Source organism: Homo sapiens, chromosome 2 (assembly GCF_000001405.40).
Source record: "Homo sapiens chromosome 2, GRCh38.p14 Primary Assembly".
NCBI classification, from domain to species: Eukaryota; Metazoa; Chordata; class Mammalia; order Primates; family Hominidae; genus Homo; species Homo sapiens.
The window spans coordinates 182,838,981-182,862,505 of NC_000002.12; the positions used below are offsets into that span (position 1 = coordinate 182,838,981).

A 23,525-nucleotide genomic window follows, 5' to 3' on the forward strand; every position below is an offset into this window, starting at 1 on the left:
CAATTGCTGCCAAGAGGAATTTAAACTATGTTAATTTTACTATATGAAAAGACCTAATACTTAAATATGCTTTATTCCTTGTCGACACTGTTTTATCAGGTCCATTAACAGGTTTTCTCAAGTAGTGGGCCTCTGTAATGTTATAAAATTGTCCTGCTCAGTAGTGTTCCCAAACTGGTTCTGCAATCTTTTCACCTTCCTCATCTTGGCTCACTGTTCAGATATTAGCTCCTTTCTTTCTTTGTGGTCAGTACAGATTATCTTTTATATTCTCCTTTAGGTGGGCTACATTTTCTTCTTTGTTCGGATATTAGGTCCTTTTTTCCTTTGTGTTCAGTACAGATTATCTTTTATATTCTCCTCTAAGTGGGCTATATTTACTTCTTGAATAAAAATGGTCACCACTAGATCTTATTTCCTCCATCTGCTTTGAAGTCAGACACTCCAACATTCCTTTCCCTCACGTGCTATGGAATATATTCTCACGTGTCAATGGCATTATTCTACCTCTCTCAATGGATATATTGGCACCCAATTTATCTCACAAGACTTGCTTTACTTATCAATGTAACAACAAATTGCCTTCAGTTGCAAAGTTAAAGTATGTGACTCAGAATCTAGAAAGTACAGATCTGCTTCTTTTCTGTATCTCTCCCCTTTAAAAGAGTCAAGTTGTTCAGATTCCTGCTTCTAGTAAATGAGCTTTTAAAAAGAGAAGTTTTAAAACACCAAGAAAGAAGTAAAAATATCAGTAAAAAGCCAGTGGCATTTCTCCCAGTACCCTCATTGCTCCAGTTCACTATCCATGGACATTATATAGAGGAAAACACCGTTTATCCAAATGAGTCAACATTTCAAAAACTTCTTAGGCACATAATTGCAAACCACTTTAATCTGAGTACTTTCCCACATATTTTAGAGATTTTGGACTATAAAGGATTAGAAGAAAGTAATCCTTGAAAAATATAAAACCAGCTAATCAACCATTCCCCCCATTAATGTTCCAATTTCGTCACAAAAACTTATTCTACCAGTACAACACACATGACAGAAATTAGTTACTAAGGAATTCTAAAAGCTTCACATTTCAGTCTTCCGAGAATTAGTTGCCTCAAGTATGAGAACGTGTAGCAAACAAACTGTAACTACCCAACTGTCCTCGCTTGGTTTGACTGGCAAGTGGAGCCTCTTTCTATTCATGTTCTCCCTATTCTGTATTTAACAAAAGATAAGATTGCCCTTTTTGAAATGCCATTTGGCAGAATCAGATGAGAAATTCACAACCCCAGCTAGCAGGCATTTTTGTGTGTCCTGGCTTAAGTGAACGTGCTTCATAGCATCCATCAACTATTAGAGATTAGTGAACTGTGCAAATGTTCTCAAACTAATGATTTATTTACCCAGTGTCTACTATTTTCATTAGAAATGTTTAGCACATGTACCCACTCCAAAATAAATATCTTTCTACAAGACCTACTTTTTCACTCAAGTAATTTGGTTAACACTTAAGGAGTTTTTCCCAGAATTAATCTAAATGAAGTAGAGGTTTTGTCTGAATTTCCAACTGCTCCCACCTTGACATGCAGATATAGAAGATAAAAATATTTTGGAAGTAAAATATACTTCCTTTTCAGAGTTCTTCCTTCTATTTAACCATTTGAGTGCCTCCCTTCCCCAAAGAAACTGTAAGAAATCCCAGACAAATGGCAATCCTGAAACTATGATCAACTTAGCTATTACTTGGCTACAAAAAAGAAATTATCTGCTCCTTTCCATTAATTATAATCCATATCCCATTTTATTATGATATTCATTCAGCTACTTTCTCTAAGACCTTCACTTTCCATGACTTGTCATTCAATTTTTAACAAAAATAACAGCAACAACCATTGAAGCACTACAGAAGCTAGATAAAATAAAACTTGATAATAGGATACATAAATTAAATATAAATAATTACATTTCCCTGATATAAAATTGATATGTTTTTATTCTTAGTGTTACAGTATATAAAAGTTCAGAAAGCATTTTTCAATCTTAACAAGCTAATCTCCTAGAAATTAAGGGCTCCCTTTTCCCTAGGCTTCTTCACATCAATCTGTAAAGAAGCGGGTTCTTAGATAAGCAGCCAGGCATTTGACTTCTTACATAAACATAAGCTTACAAACTTAGAAAGAGCATCCATCATTGACTAAGAAAAGCTACAATCCTCTTAAGAGGAGTAGCAGGCAAAACATAGAAATTAATTCCATTGAAGAAAAATTTGGGAAACAAGGTGGATTTGTTTTAAAGAGATTTAACTAAACCCAAAATTTTCAACTTTATATTTTTTAATACACTGCATTTTGAAAGATATTGAAGCTAACTTTTACAGTCTTATTCATTTCTCTCCTTTCAATTCCCAAAAGTATAGAAGAAATAAATCTGCTGTATATATCCTATATACTTTAAAATAGTGTACATAAATGTAATAATAAAACTCTTATTTTAATAAGGTTCACTGTAAAAGTCTGTTTAATCTCCATGTTTACTCATTGACTCAACATCAATAGTCTTATGCAGAGATAGTAACATACCTTTTATTAATACCATAGATATTAGAAAAAATCAAAATGCATATGGAATACAGTAAATATCAGTCCCTTATGTGTCAACGGGAAAGCTCTGTTAATTGCCCTTTCTAAATATAATGACTGTATAAATGAATTTATGACTCTAAAATATACACCAGCATCCAAAGTACATTGTGAACAATCAAAGAAGGGACTACTTAGGTTCGATAATCATTGATAAAATCAAGATGGTAATATATCTCATGGGGCAGCTGAGAAAATTAAAGATAATGTATGGAAATCACTTAGCACAGTCCCTGATGCAAAAATGGCAGGCTTTTTAATCCTTCAGTTAAGTTTGTCAGCTACATTTGGATTGGTGGCTCTTCAATTAATATTTAGTTTATTAGAATGTCGGATTTTAAGTCAAGCTAGATAACAACACATTTCCTTCGCTGAATACCAGCAACTTCTACAAGTGTTACTTTCCAAATCTGTCAGTGTTTTTCATGGGATAGACTGACTGAAGAAGTCAAGTTTGAGTCTTTTAACAGTTCCTTATGCATCAAAGTGCTCTGCTGTTCACTCAGTGAAGCACAACTGATGGCCTATGCAACCCAACTTGAGCTCAAATCCTCCTTCAGCCTCCAGGCAGGGAAGAGTCCCATGTATCTTGATACTTATCTCTGTGTACTTAAGTGCATGGCTCTAGGATGACAATACTGCTTGATGTGCTTCAACATCAACCAAGTGTTAAGCATTTTGCCCGTGTGAGACATTTTAATTGGTCGGGGCAGAGGGACTATGCTCCTAAAAATAGTCCTTCTGTTTTTAAGCCTTATTCTTAAATGGCTCCACTCGTTTACATGTGCACATCCTCATAGGTGCATCCACACACCTCTCTTAACACAGCAGTTTATACATCAACCATGAAATTTTCCTTACCATAGTTGTAATTGTTCCGGAAATAGGTCTTCTGTGTAGCTCTAATAGGCTTACATTTACAGCGTTCTGAAAAACACATTTTAGTTATAAGCACATTTCCAATATTAGCTTTCTTTTGTTTTGCTCAGACTCACATTTTTTGCTCAGACTAGATCTCAATTTGGTGGTGAGAAGGCTCTTGTCAATTCTGTGTGTCTGAATTTTTTCTCCTGGAACTACATTCATGTTTATTCTATCTACATGTCCTCTTATTCAATGTCAGTATGCTCATGAGAACGAGTTTCCATTCTCAACAAACCACCCAAATCCTGAGGAAATGCTGTTCACCCCCATGCATGAGAAGAGCATGACCCCTTAATCCTGAAAGAGGTATGCTTTATGCTTATGGAAGTATTAATATTATGAATACCAACTGGGAGGCAATTTTCTGCCTATGCTCAGGTAGCTGGTTTGCCCTGTGGACTATCACCTAATGTTTTTTTACTTTTAACAGATGACACAGTACTCCTCCTACTATTAGCTCCTAGATCTGAAAGCAACTCAAAGAGATAAGCAAGTGTTATTACAACCCAGTGAACTTGGTGAAGTTCTTAAGAGGGGCAGTGAGCCCCTTCTATAGGTAAAATAGCTACCATTCAACTCAATGGTATTTTTGTGCTTGTTGGAGGAAATTATGCAGGTATTTTGAAAAGAGAAATTTCATTTTTTAACAATATTTGGTGAGTAGTGACCAGAATGCATATTTTATGTATATATTAGGTTGGTACAAAAGGAGTTGTGGTTTTGGCCATCATAATAATAACAATTCTAATTATCTCAAAATGTTTCATCTATAGGGTAGATTCATTTGACACCTTGAAGAGTAGATTATTATACCTTTTATAGAAGAGCTACAAAGCTAATATTACTTAGCTAAGAAATATACATCATAAGCATGGCAAATTGTCAGGAATTAATGTCAATATAAAAGTAGAAAATAATACACAATTATCTTAAAATATTTAATTATATGTAAAGATTTCTTTAAATAATGCCCCTGAGAAAGCTTTAGTAAAAATTAAATGGTATGTGCTTCTCTTTTGACACAGAAAGGAAATAAGAACACATAAATTAGAGAAAGGACATCAACAAAAAAAGTTTCACTTAAAAGGCATTTTATGGCTGGGCACAAGCGCTCACGCCTGTAATCCCAGCACTCACTTTGGGAGGCCAACATGGTGGGGGAAAAAAAATTGCTTTAGCCCAGGAGTTCAAGACCAGTCTGGGCAATGTGGCAAAACCCCGTCTCTACAAAAAATGCAAAAATCAGCTGGTGTGGTGGCGTGTGCCTGTAGTTTCAGCTATTCAGGAGACTGAGTTGGGAGGATCACTTGAGCCCTGGAAGTCAAAGCTGCAGTGAGCCAAGCTCAAGCCACTGCACTCCAGACTGGGTGATAGAGTAAGACCCCGTCTCAAAAAAAAAAAAAAGTTGTTTTATGTTAACATGGGGAACAATAAAAGGCAGAAGCTTTTGTTGACCACTTGTATTTTCTAATGAAAATAAATTTTATTTCCAGTTGAACTTGTCAATAATACACTTTAACATAGCAGTCCCGAAAAGAGTATCACCCTTCCTGCCAGAGAAATAAGTATCTCTACTGGGGATAGGTAGCAGCAGCAACTGTTGCTCTTGCCCATGACAGAAATGAGAATTCCTCAATACCACACACAGCTCCTTCCCTTGTTCTCCTGATAATTTTTAGCACACAATTTCTGTGAAGATCTCAGCCAATAAACAATGAGTAACATTAGTGCTTGTTGCTATTTTGACAAAAACTATTCCAAAAATAACTTTATTAGCAAAATGATTGTATTATCATTTAAAAGAGAACAAAAAGTTACCTAGCTTTTGGCGTTCTGTATTTTATTCTGTATTAAAATGTTACATGTATTTTTAAAGAGATATTCTTGAGATGAGAATATTTCTGAAGACGTAAATTTTATGGTATTAGGTTTATAAATTATCCTCATCCATATATAGACTTGTGATTTTTCTACTTAAAAATAAATATCTATCAAAAATAAGTCATGTAAATAAATTACACATTTGTAATTCTTCAGAAATTTGCATGTGCTCAAATAAAAAATTTTGGCAAAAACTATAGCAACTGTCACTGAATTGAGTCTAATTTGATGTTGTTACTTACATATCTTTGCTTGGAGCATAAACAAATGGATTCCATAAAACTTTCCAGGCAGGGATTTTTTTAAATTATATTACAAAATGATTTAGTAATATTTCAAGTAGGCATTTACAAAGCTATGCATACAACTACATATACATAGCTAGACTATTACCTAACAGCTAATGAGCTAAGCAAATATTCTCGGGACTAAATTTTGCTCATCTGCAATATACTTCTTATTTCTGCTGGTCTCCAAGGTGACAATGCCATACTAAATATATATTTTAAATATTTATATGGGACAATATGTCCCAATCCCTAGCTCTTGCCATAAGCAAATTATCTGTATAGTTCAAGTAGCTCGATAAAATAACAGTAATAAGGAGAAGCTGAGTTTATATCCACAAAGCTCAAATATGAAAGAACCTCCTCTCATTTATGCTTACTCAACCCAAAAATTCATATCTTAGGTTATTCATGAAAAGGGTATCTTAGATCAATAGATCTGAAACATAATCCTCATCTGAATTATGTTTACACACATCAACGTACACATCCCCACAAGCCCAAGAACTGTGAAATTGTGAAGAATCAGAGAGAGGTATGTTGCATGCATTAGCTGTCACCTTTTTTGTGCCTGCTACCCTAAATCAGATGTAACAGTTTATTTTTATTACCTATAGTTGATTTCTTGATACTCTTTTTGGGGGGCCTGTAGCATTACCATCATTTCTTGTTTAATTGCTAGTAATCTTCCTCTCCCAACCTCCTAATGGCACAAGTTTTTTAGAATGGAAAATGAAATCTATTATTTACTGAGCTTTGCACAAAAACCATTAGATATTGATTTTTCTGTATTTCACTGTTGAGAAGAAAAGCTTATAAATGAATTAGCATCTGCCTTGGTGCTTTATGTAAGGAAAAAAAAATACTTTAAAAGTTAAAGGAGTTGGTTTTGACAAAATAGGCTAAGTAGTGACAAAGAGATCTTCAAACATGGGCAGTTTTAACATTAGCAATTCATTTACCTCAAAGCCTGAAATTAATACAATACCTTCAATTGTGGGACAGAGTGCAGTGCTACATTTACCAGCAGCCATGGAAAGGACAGAAAACTATTTTCAGCTTAGTTCTTCCTCACATTCCTTCCACTCCTCTTGCTTGATTTTTCTAGTGACTCTCCTAATACTAATGATCTCCTACATATCTGCTAATGAACCTGGAGACTGTTTATTTCATAGAAACATGAGTTTATCACCCTAGTAGAAAGAAATCTGAGTTTGCAAAGTTAACATGCCCAGTACTTCGCAGAAGTTAGTCTGCAGCTCAGGGGAAATGCCCCATGATACACGCAGTGCCCGAGCAGTGAACAGCCTTGCTGCCTCAGAGTAGCTTCTTATAAAGATCAAAATAGTTCAGAGGAGACAAGAATCTTAGCCTTCTTTATTCAGTTTTGCTCATACAAATATGCTCATTTATTTTTTAAAAACAAAAGGATACTAGTATTTTTGATATGATCTTAGAAGATCTAAAGAAGTCTAAGTCCCTGATACAGCTATGAAATATGACACTCACTGGACTGTCACTATTTAATGCAACATTGTTTGAGTTCAAGCTTAAGTGTGATAAAACTTTCTAACTATCCCTGACCTTTGTTTGAAATTGAATGCTTTTGGGTCTTATCCAGAGGTGTAAGACTATAATTAACTTCATCAGATCCCCAAACTCTCATAACCTTTCATGTACCATGACTTTGGAGGACTACTATGTTTGAGTGGATATTTTTCTGTTTTTTCTAGGAAAAAAAGCCTCAGATCTGTGCTTAGGATTTATTGTCAAAAACTATGGGGAAGGAGAGAAGAAAATACAATTGTATTTGTGTTACAATCTCCTTTATAACTTTTTCAAGACTGACCTTTTCTAATCAGATCAGAGTTTAAATCATTTTAATTTTTACCAGATGCACTGTAAGTCTCATATCCTGGCATTTGACCCCTGAATCCCAATTGTCCTCTTTTCCTCCATTTTAAAACACATAGGAGCAAAGCACAACACATTTTAAAAGATATAAAAAATAAAATTTTATAATTTGAAGATCCAGGTCCTTAACTATGACTTTTTTACTGAGCTCTAGATCTATATTTCCAACTGCCTGTACGAGGTATCTATGAGCAGTTCCAAAATTTTTAACAGTTCCATAATTTTTAACATCTGGTAACATCCATCACACCATGAATTTGTCTTTCTTCTGTAGAACTGATAGTAGTATCTTCTGACTCCATAACTCTGGTGTATCCATTCTTCTGTAAATATGAGATGAGAAAGGGAAAGAGAACTAACATTTGTTGAACTCTTTCAGTCACTTACATATGAATTCATTCATTCTGCAAATATTGGGCATCTGCTACATTCCAGGCTCTGTGATAGGCATGTAGGACACATGATGGGCACTACAGACAATCCAGAAGAGGATAAAGACATTGAACAAAGAAAGTACACACAAAATAATTTGTCACATGTGATACATGACATGAAATTAAAACACAATGTATATGTGTAATAAGAACATATAACTTAATGACCTAAACTAGTCTGGCCTCCAATATACTGTGAGAAAATGATATTTAAAGCTTTGGGTGAGTTGTAGTTCTCTAGGCAGGAACTACATCTTTATATATAAGACAGAGAATATGAAGTCCATAAAGGAGACTGAGAAGCAGCATCCAGTGATGTGGAAGGAAATACAGGAGAGTGTGGAATTGAAAAAGCGTCTTCCAAAATAAAAGCAGGGTAGTCCTCTGTGTCAAATGACCCTCAGAGCTAAAATGAGTTCAGAGAGAAAAGGGTCCACTAAATTCAACTGGCAACGTGATGACTGGACCCTGAGCAAAAGAGAGAATAGGACTTTGAAAGCTAGAAGACTTTATCCACTACACAAGAAGGAAAAGGAGAGAAAGGTACTGATATTGACAAGTTTGTAAATTGGTTGGTGGAATAATGAGGGTGTTCTTTCCAATGGCTTTTACCTTCTCATTGAAGAATGAAGTGAAGTCATCAGCTATGGGGAATGAGGGGCTACGAAAAGCAGGATGTGGGCATGTAAGCAAAGAAAGTATAAAGCAGTTATTTCATCAAATAGAAAGGCAAACCTTATAGTGGGTAAGAATGCTTGGCAATCTTGATTGTCTATTTGAATTTTCTATCTTGAATTTAAAGTGAAACCAGTCACCTCAGTTGAGTAATTTTCTCAAATAACTGGAGTTGGGATTTGCCAGATGAGTATGGAAGAGGAAGAGAAAGCAAAGAAATTGAGGGTATCTTCAAGGGTATCAGTATTGCAGTAGACCATGATATCTCACATAGACAAGAAGGCCAGAGGCTTAGCAGATAGTAAGCAGTAGCTGATGGATAGGTAATCTCAACATGGTAAAAAAAAAAAAAAAAAACAGCAGTGATGATACTGCAACAAATCATCTGGAATGAAAAGAGGCAGCAGGCAAAGAATGGGATTCTTAGAATTAATATTACAATGCTGGCACCACTGCTAGCACCACTGAAAGGCCCAGAACTGCTCATGGAAGTGAGTGGCTGGGGTAGAATAGACAAGCAGGTTAGTAAAGTGAAGAAATCAGTGCACTAGATGGATCATCTACCTTATCATCACAGCTATCAAAACAGCAGCAGGAATGGATGCCATGGTGGAACTTGTTCAGATAGCCCTTAAAACAGAAGATGGGCAATATACCACTTGGCCATTCAGGAGGTCAATTCCACTATCCTTCTAGAAACAAGGCGATAGTAAAACATCCCTAGATTCCACCCCATGGAACACATTCCCTCTTCCCAAAATTGCAAGTCATCAAATGGACACTTAATGGAAAACCGACAGGGTCTTATTGTTCCTAGGGCATTAACAAACAAACAAAACACCCGAACCCTAGAGTCCTGGTGTCAATGATGAAAGGGAAGAAAACGAACAACAACAACAACAACAGCACAACTCCTGCAGATTCAGAAATCAACTATATTAAACTAGGAACCATATAGAAGTCATATTGGTATTATGCTCATACAAGGGTGTACTTTTACACAATTAGAAATAAAATAAAATGATGCACAGAACTCAAAGTCTCAAAAATGCCATGGTATGCCAAAGCAGCCAGTCCCAAGTGTGTACAGTATGCTTCCATTTACGTGAAGCTGAATAACGACACCCATCTATGGCAATGAAAATCAGAACTGTGCTTGCCTCAGGGCAGAATGGGTGATAAGACACCAGACAATTTAAAGAAATGTTCTTTAGGCCGGGGTGCGGTGGCTCACGTCTGTAATCCCAGCACTTTGGGAGGCCGAGGCGGGTGGATCACGAGGTCAGGAGATCGAGACCATCCTGGCTAACACGGTGAAACCCCGTCTCTACTAAAAATACAACAAATTAGCCGGGCGTGGTGGCAAGTGCCTGTAGTCCCAGCTACTCGGGAGGCTGAGGCAGGAGAATGGTGTGAACCCGGGGGGTGGAGCTTGCAGTGAGCTGAGATCGCGCCACTGCACTCCAGCCTGGGCGACAGAGCAAGACTCCGTCTCAAAATAAATAAATAAATAAATAAATAAATAAATAAATAAATAAATAAATAAATGTTCTTTATCTTGATCTGGATGATGGTTACATAAATATATACATTTGTCAAAATTTAAATGCAGCATACACTTAAGATTTGTAGTATTTTACTGTAAATAAATTATACCTTAATAAAGTCCTATTAACAAAAAATAAGACATTTCTTTCATTTTTTTATAAAAGGAAGTGTGTCTTGACTTAGTAACCATTCATTACCTATGTAAAACAATATTTATTTCCTACACCTATACACAGGGCAAAGAATATCATATTAAATTTTATTTTGGATTACACCAGTATATGGAAAATGTGATGAAGTTGACTGGTGAACCTAGGCGATATAACAAGGCTTTACAAAGTAAAAGTAACATTTGCTCAACTTAGCTGTAAAAACAAACCTCAAATATTGTAATAAAGGACTCAATTCACAGTAATTTGCACTTTGTAAAAGAAATTGCTTAAGACTGACAGAACTAACGCTATATTAATAAGAAAAGGAAATTCAGTTTATTCCTTTTTGTCTTTGGAAAATTTCAAATAAACTGCCTTTCACAAGTTTTCTGCATCCAAGAGTTATTCAGAATATCCAAAATATAGAAAGAGTCAATACAATTATGCTTGTTTTCCCTCATGACTTCTGAAGTGTTGTTTTGAGATAGACTCTAAGGAAGTCAATTAACAAAAAGAAAAGGGGGCTTCACAGCCTCTAGAACACCATGTGTCCACTCAATGCCAAGTATTGAAAAGAGGTGAAAGGAAAGGGAGTGCCAGTCACCTATTTGCTCTTTCATTCCATGTCATTGGCACATATTGTGCCTGATACGAGTAAGTGTCCCTTATATTTTTTATTAATACATAATAGATGGACATATTTTCAGAGTACATTGATATTTTCATACATTCATATAATGTGTAAATATCAAGTTATAGGGTAATATCCACCACATTAAACATTCCTCTTTATGCTGTGAACATGTGAATTATTGTACATATTGAAATGTACAAGTAGATTATTGTTAACTATAGTCTCCATACTGATCTATCAAACACTAGGTCTTCCTCCTAACTAACTGTATATTTGTCCTCATTAATCATCCTCTCTTCATTCCCTCCTCCACGCTACCATTCCCAGCCTCTGATAACCACAAATCTACTCTCCAGCTCCATGAGATTCACTTTTTTCTGTTTTTAGCTCCCATATATGAAGGAGAACGTGTGATATTGGTCTTTCTGGGCTTGGCTTATTTCATTTAACATAATGACCTCCAGTTCCATTTTCCTTCAAATGACAGGATTTCACTTTTTTTAATAGCTGAACAATATGTCATTGTGCATATATACTACATTCTCTTTATCCATTCATCCACTAATCAGCACTTAGGTTGATTCTACATTTTGGCTATTGTGAATAGCACTGCAGTAAACATTGGAATACAGATATTCTTCAATGTATTAATTCCCTTTCTTTTGGATATATACCCAGTAATAAAATTGCTGGATCATATGGTAGTTCTATTTTTAGTTTTTTGAAGAACTCCCTATTGTTTTCCTTAGTGGCTATACTAATTTACATTCCCACCAACAGTATACTAGAGTTCCCCTTTTTCCACATCCTCGCTACCGTCTATTGTTCCATCTTTTTGATAAAAGCCATTCAAACTGGGGTGAGATATCTCACTGTGGTTTTGATTTGCATTTATCTGATTAGTGATGTTGAAAATTTTTTCATATACCTGTTGGCCATTTGTAAGTCTTCTTTTGAGAAATGTCTGCTCAGATCTTTTGCCCATTTTTAGATTATTTGTTGTTTTTTGTTTTGTTTTTGCTATTGAATTGTCAGAGTTGCTTATATATTCTGGTTATTAAGCTCTTGCCAGATACTTTGCAAATATTTTCCCTCATTCTATGGATTGTCTTTTCACTTTGTTGATTGTTTCCTTTGATGTGCAGAAGCTTTTTGGCAGGACAAATCATTACATTTCTAATGAATGGTGAGATCGGTGGACTAAAACCAAATAAAGTTTCAGTACTAGGGACTTAGAAAAGCAATGGTGTCACATACTTAAATGAGAAAGTTACAAAAGAGAAAGTTTTAATTAAACAATTACTTCAGGGCTGGGCACGGTGGCTCACGCCTGTAATCCCAGCACTCTGGGAGGCTGAGGTGGTTGGATCACCTGAGATCAGGAGTTAGAGACCAGCCTGGCCAACATGGTGAAACCCCTTCTCTATTAAAAATACAAAAATTAGCCAGGCGTGGTGGCGGGTGCCTGTAATCACAGCTACTCAGGAGGCTAAGACAGGAGAATTGCTTGAACCCAGGACATGGAGGTTGCAGTGAGCTGAGATCGTGCTATTGCACTCCAGCCTGAGCAACAGAGTGAGACTCCATCTCAAAAAAACAAAACAAAACAAAAAACAAAAAAAAAACAACTTCAGTAATTAAATACATTATTTTTGAAGTACTCAAAGAGTACCCAGGTAGAAGTGTTACAGGAGGGAAATGTGGTCCTAGAGAGTAATCACAACTAGAGTCATAAAAATGATAATTCAGCCTATGTAGCTTGATGAACTCCAACAGGAGGAATCCCTATGAGGAGAGAGGAACAGAAGCCAAGCACAGAGCCTCAGTGACTGTCTATAGCTGAGGGACAAGCAGAGAAGAACTAGGACAATTTGGGTAATAGCTCAAGGAGAGAAATGCTTAGGAAAGAGAACTGGTCAAAAGTATCAGTTGTTGCAAAGTAATGGGGAAAAAAAATCCTATAGTTTTAAGCTACTGTAAAATCACAAAAATACTATTTGTCTATCCTTTTTTTTCCAATAAGGTGTGGAAGTTGGCTCTACAGTCAGTAAACATTTGTACCAAAGAAAAAAACTGAACTTCTTCCCAAAATTGGTAGTAAGCCAGCAGGGAGGAAAGAAGTGTAATAGAAAGAAAGAGAGGGAATGGGTCTATACTACCCAAGCTAAGCATAAATCATGTCAGCAAAAGTGGGAGTGGCTGGGCAGGCCTGGCAGCTGCAGTCATCAGGAATCTCCAGTTGCTCAGTGGCCACCAGGCAGCTACCCAGAGGAGCTTCTCTGGAGCACCTTTGGAACAGCGCCAAGAGCAGGTTAGTGAAAACTCTGGGAGAGCATCTGACTTACACTAATGTTCCCTAATTTAAGATAAATCAGAAGGGAACTCAGATCAATACAATCTGATTTTATATTAGGAAACAGGCCCCAAGAAATAATTTGGTCACATTTATATATTTAGTGTCAGAATTTACCAACTCTATCTCCGCTCTGGAGACATTTGTGTTTTTCAAATGTGAAAGTTCATAAATTGGTCACCCTCACAAAGCAGAAAATTGGAAGAATTACTTTTTGGAATTATTTTAATTAAAAAAAACCCTTTGCATTGGACCACTTGAATATCTGCTTTAATTTTCTGTGTGCTGATTTGATAGATCAAGTGACTAGGTGAAATAGAACAAAAATTGTTTTCCTCCATATTACACGCTATGGAAATAAAGAGCATCTATTCCTTATTACAATAGTGAATTTGCAACAGTAAAACGTACAGTTGGATGCTGTTCAGAGTCATTATCTCAAAAAAAGAAAAAGAAAAAATAGTTAAGCTTTGAGGCAAAGAATATATTAACTAGAGTGAAAGAATTTCTTTTCCAAATTCCAGACAGAAACAGCTTGACACTTTGGAAAGAGGTCCTTATGTGGGTTACAGTGTTTTCATGCCTTCCTCATTTCCTGTTTTATCATGATCAACCTCAGCTGTTACATTTCTCCAAAGCATAAATTTTTGAGTGTGAACAAATTATATTTCCTTTTCAGAACATGTGAACATGTTAGTGTTTTTTTCACAAACAGAATGAGCTTTGGTTTTGCCTATTTGTTTTCATCACTCTCATTATGCCAGAGAACTGGAAAACATTTTTAAAAGACGAACAGTAAACACTGACTCTGAGAACACCACATTCGTTCTAGGTAGTTTTACATGTTGAACTGTTTTTTGTATATTGTTGATAGTGTTGTTGATGTGTTTTCTTTCTTTCATACATTGAAGTGCTATATTACTCTAACCATAACTTTGGAACAAATTGGTAACATATACATGTCCTTGGCCAGAAATTTTGACCCACCAATTGCAGTTTTATACAAATGAGCTTTTCAGTTCGGGTTGAGAAAACATAATAGAAGGAGTGACCCTTCAAATAGCAACATTACTGGACAGCAATGATTTCCAACTGATTTCATGATATTGAAAAACATTATCAATTATATAAAGTAACAAAACAATTCTAAAATAATTTTAATTTACTTATGTATTTAATGGGATAAATATTTGTTGGGACACCTTTGGTAGACATTCCCTCAGATCAAACATATCACCATGATAAGATTCAGTGGAAGTCAACAGAGAAAACTGTCCCAATGTAATGAAAGTTGATATTTCAAACTTATTTACAACTTAATAAAATAAATGTTTCATTTCCACAGATAAGACACCTTATAAGGCAGGACATACTCACCAAAATCAGTGCAAAATACTAGAGGAAAGTGAAATGGAATATATGGTACTCATCGCAGCTATCATATTGTAGAAATAAATGCAGCATTAGTCATTGTAACAAAAACTGAAAACAACCCAAATATCCATGAACATTAGAATGAATAAAGTGTACCACATTCAATGATAGAATACAATATAGCAATTAAAGTGAAAAACTACTGCTATACACAGCCTAATGAAAAGCATAGGAAGTCACATGCATATACAAAAATACATACTGTAGAATTCCATTTATATAAAGTTCAAGATCAGGCAAAATGAATTTATGGTACTAGAATTCCTGGGAGTAGTTACCTTTGAAGAGAAGGGTGGGGGTAGTGACTTGGAGGCTTCTGGAGTGCTGGTAATGTTACATATCTTGGTTGCAGAGAGTGGTTACTTTGTGAAAATGCACATTTATGATTTGTGCACTTTTCTGCATGCATGTTATACTTTAATGGTTTATTTTATGGTAAGATGGAATAAGTAGATTCCATCTTGTTTCTCCCACTGAAAGCAGATCTGAAACCTGAACAGAGTGCATGAAGCAGCAACATAAGAACTCTAAAACGTAATACAAGCATAACAGGAAGACTGGGGGGAGAAAATAATACCATAAAACTATAGTGGGCTCATCATTTTTTCCCTCTGGTATCCACCAGTCTGGTGTCAACACAGCCTGTATCGTAGAGGCAAGCATTTTGCAGACAGAGTACACTCCAGTTCTAACTCAAGAAGTGGAAAGGATCTCTAACATATCAGCCTCTTGCATTCCATTCCTCCAGGCATCCTGGGACTGTGGTAACAGCAACGGCTGCAACAAGGGAGACCCTCAGGAGCCCAAAACTTTGATGAAGGAGAGAATCTTACCCTCTGATTGGAGGACTTGTAGTTCCAAAAGACTGGGGCAAATCCCCATTACTTTGTCTCTCTCTCTCTTTCTCTGTCCTCCCACCACTTGGCCCCATAGGAAGGAGCAGTCACAAGAAGCAAATCACAGAGTAGGATAAAGCTTTCTAGCCAAAGGACCAAAACGGGGGAATTCCAAGGAACTGAAAAGTGCAAGGGAGATCAGAGAGATAAAGGAGCCTGGGAAAGGATTTTGTAAAGTTGTTTATGAACTACTGAAGTCACCCCTGGGCATGTGTGACTCTGACATAAAACAGTGTATCACAGATTTCAAAAACTGCACTGTAGGATAAAGTATTGCTCTGACCTCATACTGGCCACTGAGTGGTATACATGTGGGATAGATATGGAAGGTACTTCGAAGGCTTTGGAAATGGAACTGACATTAAAATCACAACCCACAGAAGACCAGTCAGAATTTGCAGCCTAATCCTAACTAGGTTAACTGTTGCTAAAATTAAAAAAAGAAAATCAGCATTTTCCATATAACTTTAAGTAAACAAGACCCAAAGCTTTATTGCATGATATTCAAAATGTCCAGGATTCAACCCAAAATTACTCTACACATGAAGATGTAGAGAAAAAAATGTTGACTTGAGTGGGACAAGACAATTAGGTGACACAGATGACTTTACGGTAGCTATGATTAAAATGCCTCACAAATTAAGGGTGAATACCCTTGAAATAAATGGAAAGATAGAAAGTCTTACCAAAGAAATACAAAATATAATGAAGAATCAAATGGAACTTTTAACTTTGAAAAATATACTAACAAATAAAAACTATCTGGATGTGTTTCAGAGAGTAGGAGATTGAACAAGACCAACGAAAGAGTCAATGAACTTGTCGCTAGGCCAATAGAAATTACCTAATCTAAACAAGAGAGAAAAAAGATTAGGAGAAAAAATTAACAGAGCCTCTCTGGGGCCTGTGGAACAATATCAGAAGATCTAACATTCATATCATCATAGAAGAGACTATTGTGTAAAAAGCAAGTATTTGAAGAAATAATTCCTAAGCACTTCTCAAATTTGGCTAACATTATAAATTTATAGATTCAAGAAGCTCAGATAACCCTAAACAGGGTAAACTCAAAGGAATCAATGCCCAGACATGTAATAATTAAAGCACTAAAAACTAAAGACACAGGAAAAAAAAATCAAATGCAACCAAAGAAAACTGATGTATTACTTACAGGGAAACAATTATTTGCAAGACTGCCAATTTCCCATGAGAAACATTGAAGCCAGAAGGAAGTGGAATATTTTTTATGTGCTAAATGTACTGCAAACCTAGAATTCTGTATGCAGTGAAAATATCCTTTAGGAATGAAGGTGAAATGAGAATATTTTCAGGTAAAGGAAAAAAGAAGTTTTTGCCAGCAGAACTGCTTTAAAACAAGTACAAAAAATACTTAAGAAAGTTCTTCAGACAGAACTTCTGTCTGAAGAACAGAAGAGAAAGAATACCAGAAGGAAGTATGGAATGTTGGAAAAGAAGGAAGAATAATAGAAATTAAAACATCTGTAAAAATACAGTAGGCTACTATTCTCCTCAAGTTGTTTAAAAGATATGTAATTGTTAAAAGAAAAAATATAAAATTATCTCATGAGGATATATATATATCTCACATACGTGTGTGTGTGTGAGAGAGAGAGAGAGAGATACAATCCAAAAGAAAGAAGAGAATGTGAATAAAAAGGAGAGGGCACAAACAGAAAATAAAACAGTAGATCTAAATACAAATATGAATAACTACATTAGCTGCAAATGGTCAAAACATACCAATCAAAAGACAAAGATCAACAGTATGGATTTTTTTAAAAAGACCCAACTATATGATGTCTACAAGAAATGTATTTAAAACACAATGACTTAAGTATGTTAAAAGTAGGATAGAAAAAGTTTTGCCCTGCAAACACTAATCAAATGACAGCTGAATTACCTATAGCAATATCAGAAAAAATATAATTTAGAGCAGAGAAAATTACCAAGGATAAAAGGACACTACATAATGAAAACATCAATTCACCAATAAGACATAAAAAATATTAAACAAGTATGTACCAAACAGAGCTTCAAAATACATGAAGCAAAACTGACAGACTGAAAAAAGAAATAGAAAAATCCACAATATTTGGAGACCTAATCACCCTTCTCTCGGTAATCAATAGATCTAGTAGACAGAAAATCAGCAAGAATATAAAAGAACTAAATAACAGTATTAATCAACTAAATTGAATTGACATTTAAAGGACATTCCACCCAACAGCAAAATACTCTTTTTTCTAAGTGTACATGGAACATTCACCAAGACAGATTATATCCTGGATCAGAGAATAAACCTTAATAAATCTAAAAGAACTGAAATCACACAAAGTATATTCTTCAACAGTAGAATTTGAAAAATAGCAAAGATAATAGGAAAATCCTCAAAAAGCAGCAAATTAAACAGCATAATCCCAAATGATGCACAAGTCAAAGGAAATATCAAGGAAAAATATAAAATATTTTGAACTGAAGAAAAATGAAACTATCAAAATTTGTGAGATGCAACTAAAGTCATTCTTAGATGGGTATTTATAGCATTACATTATATTAGAAGAAAGGTCTTGGCCGGACATGGTGGCTCACGTGTGTAATCCCAGCACTCTGTAAGGCCAAGGTGGGTGGATCACCTGAGATCAAGTGTTAGAGACCAGCTGGCCAACATGGTGAAATCTTGTCTCTACTAATAATACAAAAATTAGCTGGGTGTGGTGGTGCACACCTGTAATCCTAGCTAGTTGGGAGGCTGAGGCAGAATTGCTTGAACCCAGGAAGTGGAGGTTGTGGTGAGCTGAGATTGCATCACGGCACTCCAGCCTGGGCAACAGAGCAAGACTCCATCTCAAAAAAAAAAAAAAAGTCTCAAAACACAATATAAGCTTCTACTCTAAGAAACAAAAGAAAAAGCAAAATAAACCTCTAAAGCAAGCAAGCAGAAGGAAATAATCAATAAAATTGAAAACAGTGAAACAATAGAGAAAATGAATAAAACCAAAAGATGTTTTTTGTATCCAGAATATGTAAAGAACCCTCAGAACTCATTAAGAAAACAACCCAACTTAAAATGGGCAAAATTATTGAACATTTTACCAAAAAGCATATATGTGGATAGCAAATAAACACATGAAAATGTATTCAGCATCATTAGCCATTAGGGAAATGCAATTTAAAACCATGATGAGCTATTATCACATACCTATTAAAATGGCTAACAATAAAATATATTGATAATACCAAGGGCTCGCAAAGATATAGAACAACTGGAACTCTTATACATTACTAGCACAAAATTGAACAGCCATCTTGGAAACAGTTTGGCACTTTTTTACAAAGCTAAACATATACTTACCATATAACCCAGTGATCCTATTCCTACTTATTTAGCCTAGAGAAATAAAAACTTACATTCCCACAAAAACCTGTACTGGAATGTTTATAGTAGCTCTATTCGCGATTGCTCCAAACTGGAGACAACCCAAACTTCCTTGAAGGAGTGAATGGGTGAACAAATGGTCATACATCCAAGTAATAAAATATTCTGTAATAAAAAGGAATGCACCATTGATATATGCAGCAATTGGTTAAGTCTCAAAGGCGTACTGTCAGTCTGTCTATATGGACAATCGAACCTCAAATAGAGAAAACTATAGTGATAAAGAAAAGATGAGTGATTGCCAGTGGATGAAGATAGGGAAAACTTGTAATTATAAAGGGATACAGCTTGAAGGAGTTTTGGGAGGTGATGGAATTGTTCTGTATCCTGATGTGGTGGTGGTTACATAAATCTCTACATAATATTAAAATTCATCTGTACCAAACTATATGTCCAAATAAAAGTCCAATTTTACTACGTGCTAATTTTAAAAATAAAATTAATATAAATGAGGGAATTTTAAAAAGTTTACTTGTAAAATGTAGGGCACAAGCTTCCCCATGAATGACTTAAGTATCTAAATTACATCAATGACTAATCTGACCACAAATGAAAACCAGGAAGATAATGATATACTCACCACTGCTTGCCCCTCTACAGTTTCCGTTACTAGAATCCATAGGAAAATCTGAAAGGAGGTGACAGAAAAAAGAACTATAACATATCTATTTCAAGAATTCCTAAAGATAAAAATCTAACTCAGTCACAAGTTTGATTTGGGTAAGAATCCAATTGTCTGAAGGAAGTAGATTTTTATTAACGTCATGAGGTCGGCATTCTTATCATTCATGGGTTGAGTATGGATGAGACTTATTTTTTCATGTGGTTATAAGGAAATACTCTTCTGAATACTCAACTGTGCATAAAATTTTAGAATTTAATAATTTATTTGAATTTCACAAAATTTGTAAATGATAAGCATCCTATCATGATAAAGCCTATGCAAATATTAGGCACTCATCCAACACTTATGACTTGATGACAAAAAAAAAACCAAACGCATCTTCAATAAATGGACATATCACACTGAACTGGTATATATTTAAATCCTTAGTTCCTAAACGAACACTCAGAAATCATTCTCATGTCCTTTAACTGCAGGCTAAATAATTCTTCAACAGAAAAGAAACCTACTATTCAGGGACTATTCAAGCCAGTGCAATTAATAGATGTGACAATAATTAGAAATTGCTATTGATTCTTTTTAGGATGCCATAATCCCAGAAAATAGTAATGATAAAGGTTTTCTGTGTTCTAATTAAGAAAGCAGCCTCTAATGAATAACAGTGCACCAGCGGAACACCGTGCTGAGAGATGCTGTACCTAGCAATATATCCTTATTGACACTCCAATTTAGTACTTTATATAAGAGTTTTACATTTGTAGTAACACTTTATGCTAAACTAATTTAATGCCTCTATTTATTCTAGGAGAAAATAGTATTCTTCCTTTGTCCTTTTTGTTTATAGGTCCTATCAGGAATAAATTAAACAAGGGGTTAATACTATTTTAGGACTATAACACCCACAATTACAATTAATGAATTACTTTCCCAGGTTTAGTAATCATCAGCAAGTATTTAAAAAGCAATATCCAAGAAAAGACAGCAGTCAGCAAACAAACAGATAAGCAAGTAACAAACACTAATTCTAAAACATTTGGCTCAACTTGGGCATAAACTATTAATTACTAATACTTTCATTATATTCAAACATTTATTCATGATAAATGTACCCAAGTATTACAGTAACGTGCCAGTGGTTTTTCTATTTCTGAATAATCATGTGATAAACTACATACAAAAATAATGTCTTCATAAAGGAAGAAATTATATTGGCCCATATTTGAAATGTTTATTGTTCAAAGGTAGAAATAAGAGTGAAAAATAAAACTTTGCTTGGTGAAAGGGAATCACTTCAAAATAGCTAAGCCAAGGAGAGTGTTTTACTTCTTCCATTCTTATTCAAAGGAAAATGTTTCTACGCTTTTACAAATGCTTAGAAGTCAATTGTTAGAACTGTAAGACAGAAAACAAAAATTTTCTAATAATTGATCAAAAAATTATTGTCAGAAAGTTAAACTTAGGAATTCTAACAACAAATTACCCTAAATGAAAATATATATTATTAGTAAGGATTTTAAGCAAAAGATTTGCATTTCAGAAAAAATGTCTATTGGAATATGGAGGGGAAATACTGGAGATAAGAGAGACCATTATCATCCTATGGCCATAATCCTGGTGAGAAATGGTAAGGTCCAAACTAAGAAAGTAGCATTAGAGAGGGAGAGAAGGGAATTTGAGTCAGAGTAGACCAAACAGCATGTGATACCTATTGAGTGAGGGGAATGAGGAAAAAGGTAGAATCAAGACTGCTTCCCACAGCCAGGTATGGTGACTCACACCTGTAATCTCAGCACTGCGAGGCCAAGGCAGGCAGATCATCTGAGGTCAGGAGTTCGAGACCAGCCTGGCCAACATGGCGAAAACCCATCTCTAACAGAAATACAAAAATTAGCTGGGCGTGGTGGCATGCACCTGTAGTCCCAGCTACTCAGGAGGCTGAGACAGGAGAATTGCTTGAACCTTGGAGGCAGAGGTTGCAGTGAGCAGAGATCACGCCACTGCACTCCAGTCTGAGTGACAGAGCGAGACTGTCTCAAAAAAAAAAAAAAAAAAAGACTGCCTCCCAGGCCTGGACTACTAAGGTATGGTGGTACCTTTCAACAATATAGAAAATACTAGAAAGAAACAAGTGCATGACTATGGGGAAATGATGAGTTCACGCTGGGGCATGCTGAGACCGAGAGACTAGGGACATGAGAATCTGGAATGTATAATCTCTACTATCTCAAAATTGCAGTGAAGTCAGAATCTCTTATCTCTTTGAATCCATTGTCTAGAAGCCACCTTTTATTCTCTTAAGCCATAGATAAGTGTACTTCAAAATACAATGAGAAAACCTTTGTTCCTTTAACTGCAATCTGCTAGGCAAAGAATAACAGATTCTCTAGAAAGTTAGGAATTACATTTCTTAAGGGACAAAGTGTAGTGTAGAACAGGCTCTGCTTCGAATTCTCTTTTTCTTACTAGCTCTGCTAACTTGGACAGTAACTTAGCTTCTCTATATGCCTTGGCTTCCTTTTCTCCAAAATGGGAATAATAATGAATGTGCAAAATGCACTCAGGACAGCACCTAGAACATAAGTGTTGGTTGCTTTTATTGTGTTGCTAATGGTTCCTGTCCTGAGGATGACACGTCCTCTCCCCAATGACGTTGTTGTTAAACATTTATATTGTGCTTTACCGTTTATCAGTAACTTCATATTACTATTTCTTTTGTTCTTCACAATCCCTAATGAATGTCAATGTCAAGCGACTAGTTCAGTGTACAAAATTAATGGCAAATCTAGAATTCCAACTAAGGGCCTGTAACTCTAAAACTGTGGTTTTCTCTAAATTGAGGAGATGTAGCCAATTCTTAATTATTCAAAACTATCTCTATTTGTTGGCTGTTGGTCTCCTCATTCTAGACACCAAGTAGAACTAGAAGAGCTAAATATAACCTAGTCAGTTTTGCAATTTGTAGCAACAACTATTTGAAGGTTTAGTGGGAATGAGATAAAAAGTAAATTATTAAGATTTGGAGACTACATAAGATTACATTACTCCTGATAATGGGGGTTGCTCTAAATAAAGTTAAATACTACTAACATAACACTGAGATACTCTTCCCTAACCCATCCAGAGTGCCTTTCAGTATTTTACACAATGAAGGATCCTCAGAAGCATGTTTTCCCTTTAATTCTAATCTAAAATTTCCATTTCTCCTTTCCATTTTCCTCCTCATATCACACTAAATAATTCTTCCTTCTTGGTACTTGGCCCCTCAAATATTTGTAGAACAGGGCTAAAGAAAAGACTGCCTGTTTCTCTGAGAGTGGAGAAACGATTAAATGGCAGCTCCTGCATATGAAAGTTGGCACGGCTCATGCCAAGAGAGAGAAGGCCTGCAGAAACGTGTTGAGCAAGAGCTGGGGAGAAAAGTTAACACTGCCCCAGAAGCCAGCACTGACTGAGGAATGATTATAAAGCCCTTGGCACGGCAAACTGTAGGTGTTGTGGAAATAGCTGTGAAATATCATACCATAAATTTTCTTAACTGCTTGATTCCTGGGTTTCTGAGATGAATTATTTGTAATTAACTCCTCCACCAGACTCATTCTTTTTTCTGTCGCTCCCAAGGGGATCTGCTCTTGAGCCTGAGGTCTAGGTCAATTTGTGTAAAAGGAAATACTAACT

General features: G+C 35.5%; 1 protein-coding gene and 1 long non-coding RNA gene across 2 annotated transcripts in view; both read right to left on the reverse strand.

The window, feature by feature from the left end:
• The window catches only part of FRZB (frizzled related protein), a 33,363-nt gene that overhangs the window by 5,706 nt on the left and 4,132 nt on the right, over positions 1-23,525 (reverse strand). Inside the window, exons 2-3 of the mRNA NM_001463.4 lie at positions 19,806-19,853; positions 3,498-3,563 (exon numbers count right to left, since the gene is read on the reverse strand). Coding sequence (NP_001454.2) covers positions 3,498-3,563; positions 19,806-19,853 — 114 coding nt within the window. The remainder of the gene's footprint in view (positions 1-3,497; positions 3,564-19,805; positions 19,854-23,525) is intronic.
• Positions 7,595-18,423, reverse strand: LOC124907916 (uncharacterized). The gene is made up of 2 exons (XR_007087330.1): positions 15,151-18,423; positions 7,595-8,112 (listed from the first exon to the last, which is right to left on the reverse strand). It is a non-coding gene; the product is annotated as an uncharacterized LOC124907916 (long non-coding RNA).